The following is a 9,300-nucleotide window of genomic DNA, read 5'->3' as shown; positions in this document are numbered from 1 at the left end:
TTCAATTCAGATGCTTAGGGGCTGTCATCTGCAATGCATCAACAGTGAAAACTAAACACCCAGCAGAATCAGGCTTTGAGTTAAGGTGAAGGCACAATAAATTTCAGCTGGTTAAATTAATCGCTTGCTGCTTGTTGTGAATATTAATCCCAGGGAGGGAACTGGCTTCAACTCCATCAAAAGACAGGTGAAAACTGAAAACAGCAAAACATTTGGGATCTTCAGAGGGAGCGCTTACCTGTGAGCCAAGTGTTGATGCTGAATCCCAAAGAGAAGCAGAATCTTAAAAACAACCTCTCCTGCTTTATAAGCACAGCTGTGCTGCAGTCACCAGCTCTCCCTGCCCTCAGCCCTCACCTGTCCCCCTCTAGGTCTCTCCAGGGACATGTACACGGAAGGGTGTTGCCTGAAGGTACAGAAGATGAAAGAGCCAAGGCTTCTAATTTGTGGGATTTTTTTCATTGTGATAAAATACACATAAAATTTACCATTTTAACCATTTCCAAATGTACAATTCAGGCATTAAGTACATTCACGTTGTTGTGCAACCTTCACTGCCTTCCATCTCCAGAACATTTTCATCCCGAACAGTACTGCGTATGCATTAAACAAATAACTCCCCATTTCTCTCTCTCCCAGCCCCTGGTAGCCTCTGTTCTACTGTCTCTATGAGTTTGACTACTCTAGGTATTTCATATAACTGGAATCATACAATATCAGCCCTTTTGTGTCTAGTTTATTTACTTAGCATAATGTCTGCAAGGTTCATCCTTGTTGCAGCATGTGTCAAGACTAACTTCCTTTTTAAGGCTGAGTGATGGCCCACTGTATGTATAGACCACATTCTGTTTATCCACCTATCCTCTGATGGATATTTGGGTTGTTGCCACATTTTGGCTATTGCAAACAATGCTGCTATAAATACACGGCACAAATATCTGTCCAAGCCCCTGCTTTAAATTCTTTTGGGGATATACCCAGAGGTTGAATTGCTGAATCATATGGTAATTCTATGTTTAACTTTCTGAGAAACCACCAAACTGTTTCCTAATTTTTTAATATTCCTGAAATGTATGATGTAACAAAGAAAAATATCACTACAAAAACATAAAATGATGGCTTATTCTGGCATTTAGGGAATAGTATTGATCTCAGTGGTAGATAGCTGCTTATGGAATTACCTTGATGGGACATAATTGGTTGAGATCACCAGCAATGGTCAGAAAGGAAATAATTGCTACCAAGGAAAGGAATTCGGTGGCACTGTCTGATAAAGCTGCAAGAATCTTGTCTTCTCTGCGTGGTACTGAGACATGGGTCAAGAGCTGTGAAAGGAGGGAGAGAAATTTCTGGAGAGAGGTGGCACCGTGGCATCCAGGGACCCTAAGATGACCGTGAGATATTCGCCATGGCAAAGATGGTCAATGAAACTTTGAACGTCTCATAGTCCATTTTATATTTTTAGTAGGGACGGGTTTTCGCCATGTTGGCTAGGCTGGTCTCGAACTCCTGACCTCAGGTGATCCGCCTGCCTCAGCCTCCCAAAGTGCTGGGATTACAGGTGTGAGCCACTGCGCCCGGCCTCATAGTCCATTTTAAATATTTACTTCATGTGCCCTGAACTGTAATTCCCCTCCATTGTTCCTAAAATGTTATGTGGAACAGAATTGTGATAGTGGCCCTTTGGGCAAATAGGAAGAATGGGAGCAACAGGGAGGTGGGGGAGGGACTCTCCAAATGGCGGGGAGGTGAGCAGCACCCATATTCAGTGAGAGCAGTAGTCAGAGTGTGCCGTGGCTGTGAGGCACTTCAAAAATCCTACCAGAAATGAGGTGGGACTTGGAGTGGCTATGAAAGGAAAAGGCAATTCCAGACAATGGGAGGACTCGGGCTTTCCAGATTGTCCTGAGAGTACCGTGCCTTTGCACAGGCACACAGGAGCCACTGGCTGAGCTGAAGTGAAGCCCCAGGACCATGTGCCAGGCAGGAAATCCCTGCTTAGTAAATGTTCCAACAGGCCCATAACCAAAACTCACCCCCTCTGAGACAAGTTCTGGCAGAACACATGGCCCATGAAACAGAAGACTGTGAGTTTCAGGGAGCTGGGAGACACCAGGACAGCTTAGATTAGATCTAACTTCCCATCACTATGAGCAACATCCCCAAACGAGTCTCTCCTGAGGCAGGCCAGCCCTGAGCCACGCAGAGCAGAGACCGGCCTTGGAGTATGGCCTTACTCAGACATAACCACCCCTCACTGCGACAGCATCACGCCAAGGGGCTGCCAGCCTCAGTAAGACCATGTGGGCATCAGAACCTTGATTCTGAGAGCAGGTAGGGTCACCTCTCTCCAGGTATCCATCTGTATCAACACAGAGGAGGTTTCTTTAACTCAAGACTTCGAGTAACAAAAGATTTGTTAGCCAGGTGTGGTGGCTCATGCCTATAATCCCAGCACTTTGGGAGGCCGAGGTGGGAGAATTGCTTGAACCTGAGAGTTCAAGGCTAGCCTGGGCAACACAGAAAGACCCTGCCTCTAAAAAATAGAAAATAAATAAATACAAACCAAAAGATTTGTTGATGGTGACTGAGCCCAATACTCTGTAGGAAGAATTGGGTATCATTTTATTAGTCTTTAGTTACGTTTTTACATAACAATGAAAGATTCACGATTGTTTTAGTTCTGAGGTGTCTTCTGCTTCTTTTGCCAACAGTCTGGTGGTAACTCTTAGCTTGTGTGACTGAGGGATTCACCACTAGGCTGCTCCAGTCTGGCGCCTCATTGCAGGTCCTCCCTCCTTGTCCCCACCCCACACGGGCCACTGCAGGTAGCCCTGGAGCTGCCGGTCATTCACACTTGCATCAGGACCCTCCACACTAAGCCCCAGTCTTTACCAATATAACAGGAAAGGAAAACAATCAACACAAAAAGAAATTATTGTAGTGGTGCATCTGAATTCTAGAGGTGTAGGACGGATGGGCGGGGGGAGTAGAAGGAAAGGGGCTTGTTTAAGAAAACACCTGTTTGGTTATGAAAGATGAGCCTTCTTTCCACCATACCCACAGCCTGGCATTGTCTGGAAGGAGAATGGATCTACATAATGAGATGACAAGAATTTGGGAATTTTCTTCAGGCTTCAAAGGAGACCGGTTTGCCATGACCTAGAATAGGGTAAAAGGGGCCAGACTCTGCTCCAAAAAAATTGCTGAGGCCAGAGTTTAAGAAGAAAGATAACTCTGGCCAGGTGCCGTGGCTCACGCCTGTAATCCCAACACTTTGGGAGGCCGAGGTGGGCAGATCACTTGAGGTCAGGAGTTCGAGATCAGCCTGGCCAACATGGTGAAACCCCATCTCTACTAAAATCCAAAAACAGCCAGGTATGGCGGCACACACCCGTAATCCCTGCTACTTGGGAGGCTGAAGCAGGAGAATCCCTTGAGCCCGGGAGGCGGAGGTTGGAGTGAGCTGAGATTGCGCCACTGCACTCCAGCCTGGACGACAAAGCGAGATTCTGTCTCAAAAACATGAACAGTAACTCCAGAAATTCCCCGTGAGCTGCAAAGCTGAAGTTCCTCAGAATAGGAGTACCACCCTTAGGCCCTGTGCTTTAGACCCTTGTTACTCAGATTATGATCCAGAGACCAGCAGCATCAGTAGCACCTGAGAGCTTCTTAGCAATGCAGACTCCCAGGCACCACCCAGACTTACTGAACTAGAATCTGTCATTTAAAAGACCCCCTGGCAATTTATATGTACGCTAAATTTTTTGTTTGTTTGTTTGTTTTGTTTGAGATGGAGTCTCACTCTGTTCCCCAGGCTGGAGTGCAGCAGCGCAATCTCAGCCCACTGCAACCTCCGCCTTTAGGATCCAAGTGATTCTCCTGCCTCAGCCTTTGGAGTAGCTGGGATTACAGGCACCTGCCACCAATGCCTGGCTAATTTTTGTATTCTAGTAGAGATGGGGTTTCACCATGTTGGCCAGGCTGGTCTCAAACTCCTGACCTCAAGCAATCCATCTGCCTTGGCCTCCCAAAGTGCTGGGATTATAGGCGTGTGCCACCACGCCCGGCCTTTATGCTAAATTTTGCGAAGAGATGTTTTAGAGCATTGGTCTGCAATTTGGCTGTGCATTGCGATTCCCTGGGAAACTCTTTACAACACTGATTTCTCAATTGCTAGATCTCTCAGGCGATTCTATTATGCAGCAAAATCTAAGAACCACTGCCTTGGAGAGCTTTGATCTGGCCTTTCTCTGGCTGTGCCCGTGTGCATGGGGTGAGGCATCCATGGCACAGTGGTGTGCTGGCAAAACAGCTCCCCAGGAAAATAAAAATCTGATTTGCAGTGTTTGCCAATTTCCATAGTGTAAATATTCCCACCATCACTGATTTCAAGCTACCATTGTGATGTGCCTGAAAGTGGAGTTAGAAGATGCGCAGAGTTGGTGCCCAAGAGCCTGTCCTAGCCAGCACCACTGCGTGGGGCCAATGAGGTACATCCACTGGAGCCTCTCCCACGCCATGGACCAGGGAATGACCCGATCCCAAAGCAGGCAGTACAGAGTTCACATGTGACGTCCTTCATGTGCAGGATGGAGCTGTTCTTGGGAAGAGAATGGGGGAGAAGGTGAGGGTTGAGGTCTCCATTTGTGCTCCTGTCCATCCCTGTGGATGTAGAGGTGGGCCTGCAGGACAGTGAGGCCTCATTTGGAATTTTCAGCCCTTTCCTGATCACTGCTATGAATAGTGACCCTCTATTATTACCAAACCTCCCCAGTCCTTAAGAACACATTTCCAGGGATTGGCTTGGTTGAGGTATGCTTGGGGGAACGAAGGAAGAAGGAGAATGCTCATGCCTTGGGTGAGGGAAGGGGAGAGAGGACAGCAGATGCTGGCGGCAACAAGACTTGAAGGGATGAAGAATTCAGATAGTAGTAACCAGGAGAATATAACCACCCCCACCTCCCAAGATGCCTTAGAAAGGCAGGGGAGGCTGCTGGACTTCCCACAGGATGTAGGAGATGGACTTGAGACATTTTATCTGTTTGTTAAAGGAAGGGTGAGCCCTGAAGGCTGGAGGATTCAGGGCAAAGAGCCCACACCCTGGAGTCAGCCTGCCTGGGTTAAAATCCCAGCTCCCCACCTGTAGCCTTGTGGCCTTGGGTAAGTTGCATAAGCTTCTGTTTCCTACCCTGCAGCCTCTGAGCCTGGGGAGGGTGTGGTGCAGCCAGTGTGCACTTGGAAGGCAGAGAGTTGGCCAGATCTGGGGCAGGAAAGGGCAAGGGCAAGGAGGGCAAAGGGCCTGCTGGCAGAGGCCTGGAGGAGGCTGGACAGAGCAGGCAGCCCCTCTGCAAGAGGGTATCTTGGGAGAATGGTGTCCTACAGGAAGGGAGCCCGGAACTGCTGAAGGGAATCGATGAATGAAAAGGAGCCTGCCCAGGCGCCGTGGCTCACGCCTGTAATCCCAGTGCTTTGGGAGGCTAAGGCGGGTGGTCATCTGAGGTCAGGAGCTCAAGACCAGTCTGACCAACATGGTGAAATCCCGCCTCTAATAAAAATACAAAATAATTAGCCTGGTGTGGTGGCAGGTGCCTGTAATCCCAGCTACTCAGGAAGCTGAGACAGGAGAATCACTTGAACCCAGGAGGCGGAGGTTGCAGTGAGCTGAGATCGTGCCACTGCACTCCAGCCTGGGTTACAGAGCAAGACTCTGTCTCCACAAAAAACAAAAAAAAAGAAAGAAAAGGAGAGTGAGACAAACACCACCTACTTCCCAGGGGTTATTAGCACAGCTTTGCCTCCCATCCAAATGCCAGGTAGTATTTCTTGTAAAATATTCAAACTGTATTAGCTGGGCATGGTGGTGGGTGCCTGTAATCCCAGCTACTCAGGAGGCTGAGGCAGGAGAATCACTTGAACCCGGGAGGTGGAGGTTGCAGTGAGCCGAGATCTTGCCACTGCACTCCAACCTGGGCAACAGAGCGAGACTCTACCTCAAAAAAAAAAAAAATTCAAAGTGTGAGGGCATGAGCCCCACTGATGATTGCCAGAAATTAAGCCCTCTCAAAGGGCCTGAAAGCTCCCCAGATACTGACATTTCCACTGTTTGTGCGTGTGTGTGTGTGTGTGTGTGTGTGTGTGTGTGTGTGGCAGAGAGAGAGAGAGAGAGTGTCCCATGGCGTCAGGGTCTCGGCTCCAGTTTCCTCATCAGCCCCAGATGCCAGTCGGAAGCAGGCTCCCCTGTGCCTGTCCACTCCCAAATTAGAAACAGCCCATCTTCAGGGAGTCCCAGCCTGTGGCTTCCTTCACTAACTGGCCTACCTCCCCACAGAGGACATGCCCTCTACCCGAGTCCCAGCCCTATCCAGGAGGTCCCAAGAGAGGAAGAGCTCACTCTCCCATTCTGGTCCAAGGCCTGTTTTTGTCTTCAAATCTTTTCTGTAGTTAAGCTCTTCCCAAAATTACTAATAAGAAAAATGCCCACAATCTTCAAGAAAAACCTATTTCCTACCCATAGTGGTGGGTAGTGGAGGGGAGGAGATGTCGTCTTAGTGGGAAAATCCCAATAAGACAAGCAAGTCAGAGTCAAATAGGAGTTTTGTGTGATATTATGTACCCGGGATGTGGGTTTTGGGGTTTTCAGGGACCCAGACTCCTATCCTGTTGCTCTATCATTTCTGGGGTATAACAGCATTATTTGCAACAACCAAGAGGTAGAAAAATACAAGTGTTTATCAACAGATGAATAGATACACAAAATGTGGTCCATACATGCAATGGAATATTATTCCTAACCACGTGGTCCCCGACAGCTCACCGGCACCTTTACATCTACATTCGAGCCAACGAGAAAGGGGAAGGAGAGAGGAAGGCATGCCCCTTTGCTTGAAGGGCATGATTTGAAGGTTGCACACATCACTTCTCATGTCTCATTGATCAGAACTTGGCCACGTGGCCATACTTACCCTACAGGGAAGGCTGGGTAATGGAGCCTTCATTCTAGGAAGCCACTTACCCAACTAAAAATGCTATTACTATGGCAGAAGGAGAGAATACATATGAAGGTTCAACTCTCAGCCTCTGCTACAGATACCCACAACCCCAACTGGGCTGAGCTGCAACAAACTTGGTCCAGTTCCTTGAGAGTCTCTGGGGAAGGTGAAGAACCTTACCCTGGCAGGACAGCTGAAGAGAAAAGGTAGAATTGTTGTGGAAAAGAGGGTTGTGGGGTTTGGAGAGTTTTCTGTTTTTGTTTTTGTGTTGCATAATCTACAAGTAAAATCAATCTCTCTCCTCTCTTACACACACACACACACACACACACACACACACGAGTAAACTTCCTGGCTTTATTGTTGTTGTTGTTGTTGTTGTTATTTTTTGAGACAGAGTCTCACTCTGTCACCCAGGCTGGAGTGCAGTGGCACAATCTTGGCTCATTACAACCGCTACCTCCCAGGCTCAAGCGATTCTCATGCCTCAGCCTCCTGAGTAGTTGGGATTACAGACATGCGCCACCACGCCTGGCTAATTTTTGTATTTTTTGTAGAGATGGGGTTTCACCACGTTGGCCAGGCTGGTCTCAAACTTCTGGGCTCGAGTGATCCACCTGTCTTGGCTTCCCAAAGTGTCAGGATTACAGGCATGAGCCACCGCACCCAGCCTGTTGTTGTTTTGAGACAGGGTCTCACTCTGTTACCCAGGCTGAAGTGCAGTGTGCAATCATGGCTCACTGTAGCCCCAACCTCCTGGACTCAGATGTTCCTCCCACCTCAGCCTCTCGAGTAGCTGGGACTACAGGCGTGTGCCACCACACTCAGCTAATTTTTTGTAGACATGAGGTTTTGCCATGTTGGCCAGGCTGGTTTTGAACTCCTGGGCTCAAGCAATCCACCTGCCTCAGCCTCCCAAAGTGCTGAGATTACAGGTGAGAGCCACCTCACCCGGCCAGCTTCATTGTTTTTAAGATGCAATTCTAAGAACATATTTTCTATAGACAGAATTGCTATCCCCATTTACTCTTACTTCTATATGCATTCTGCCAACCAGGCAGAGTTGAAAGGAAAAATATTTTAAATTAATAGAATACATAATTTTTCTCCTGCCAGGAGGGTATGCGTATCCAGGCAGCAGGCTTTGAGAGTGAGAACGGCTCTACTTATCCTGGAGCTTTCATGTGGTGGGAGAGGCGCAGTGCTGGGTCTGTCCCAGAACAGAGCACAGAGTAGGGCAGGCAGCAGCCCTCCAGAGGTACGTGCTGCTGCCTTTGTTTTCTTCTCAACTGGATCCTCATGTGTGGTTGGGGTCTCTGATTTGTAGTACACTCTCAATCGTACAAAAATACTCCCTTATTCAATTGTCAGCATAAAAATTCATCTCATTACTACATATGAATATTTTCTTTTTCTTTCTTTTTTTTTTTTTTTTTTTGAGACAGAGTCTTCCTCTGTCACCCAGGCTGCAGTGCAGTGGCGTGATCTCGGCAAAAACCACCTCCTGGGTTCAAGCGATTGTCCTACCTCAGCCTCCTGAGTAGCTGGGATTACAGGCACCCACCATCACACCTGGCTAATTTTTGTATTTGTAGTAGAGACAGGGTTTTGCCATGTTGGCCAGGCTGGTCCCGAACTCCTGACCTCAGGTGATCTGCCCGCCTTGGCCTCCCAAAGTGCTGGAATTACAGGCGTGAGCCACTGCGCCCAGCCCATATGAATATTTTCATATTCTCTACTATTTTGTTGAGTTTTTTCCCCCTACAGTATTGACTGATAAGTGATTCTTGGTATAGTAATTGAGTTATGCATTTATTTAATATCAATTATAATAGTAGCTGATATTTATTGAGCCAAATGCTGGACGCAGCACGTAGGTCATTTGATCTGATCTTCATGACTATCCTACAGGCTGCTGTGTACAGTTGTGCAGTTGTGCCTGGCTGAGGAAGGCACAGCAGACTTGGTGGGGCTAAAATCTACTCTGGTCCCCACTTACGATGCTGTGTGCTGGGGGAGAGGATACACCCCCTTGGTGGGAAGGAGACGTTTTCTTCTCATAAAGGAGGCATCCAGAAGCGGTCCATTCGGAGCCTTTGTTACCCATGAAATAGACACATTACTATCCCCATTACGCAGATTAAGAAACTGAGATACAAAGAAATTAAGAAACTTCCCTGTGGCCACACAGCTGGCAGGAGATAAAACGAGGAACTCAGACCAGGAAGCCTGATTCAGATGCAGGCGCTTAGCCTGAATGCTTTTGGGATGGTGTCTTTTCTACTCCTTGGGAACATTCAGTCTTACT

The 9,300-nt window shown here is 47.9% G+C and overlaps 2 annotated features.

The window, feature by feature from the left end:
* Positions 1,785–1,985: a silencer, noted in NCBI's record as "peak6038 fragment used in MPRA reporter construct". NCBI's record gives its function as "represses an SCP1 promoter by STARR-seq MPRAs in K562 erythroleukemia cells {active_cell/tissue: K562}" and the evidence as "EXISTENCE:reporter gene assay evidence [ECO:0000049][PMID:32103011]".
* Positions 4,818–5,353: an enhancer, noted in NCBI's record as "H3K27ac-H3K4me1 hESC enhancer chr6:111941387-111941922 (GRCh37/hg19 assembly coordinates)". NCBI's record gives its function as "activates a minimal SCP1, AML or CMV promoter by ChIP-STARR-seq in primed H9 embryonic stem cells {active_cell/tissue: H9 hESC(primed)}" and the evidence as "EXISTENCE:reporter gene assay evidence [ECO:0000049][PMID:30033119]".

The sequence above is a fragment of the Homo sapiens genome, chromosome 6 (genome assembly GCF_000001405.40).
Source record: "Homo sapiens chromosome 6, GRCh38.p14 Primary Assembly".
NCBI lineage: Eukaryota > Metazoa > Chordata > Mammalia > Primates > Hominidae > Homo > Homo sapiens.
This window is presented reverse-complemented; position numbering and strand designations above follow the sequence as displayed.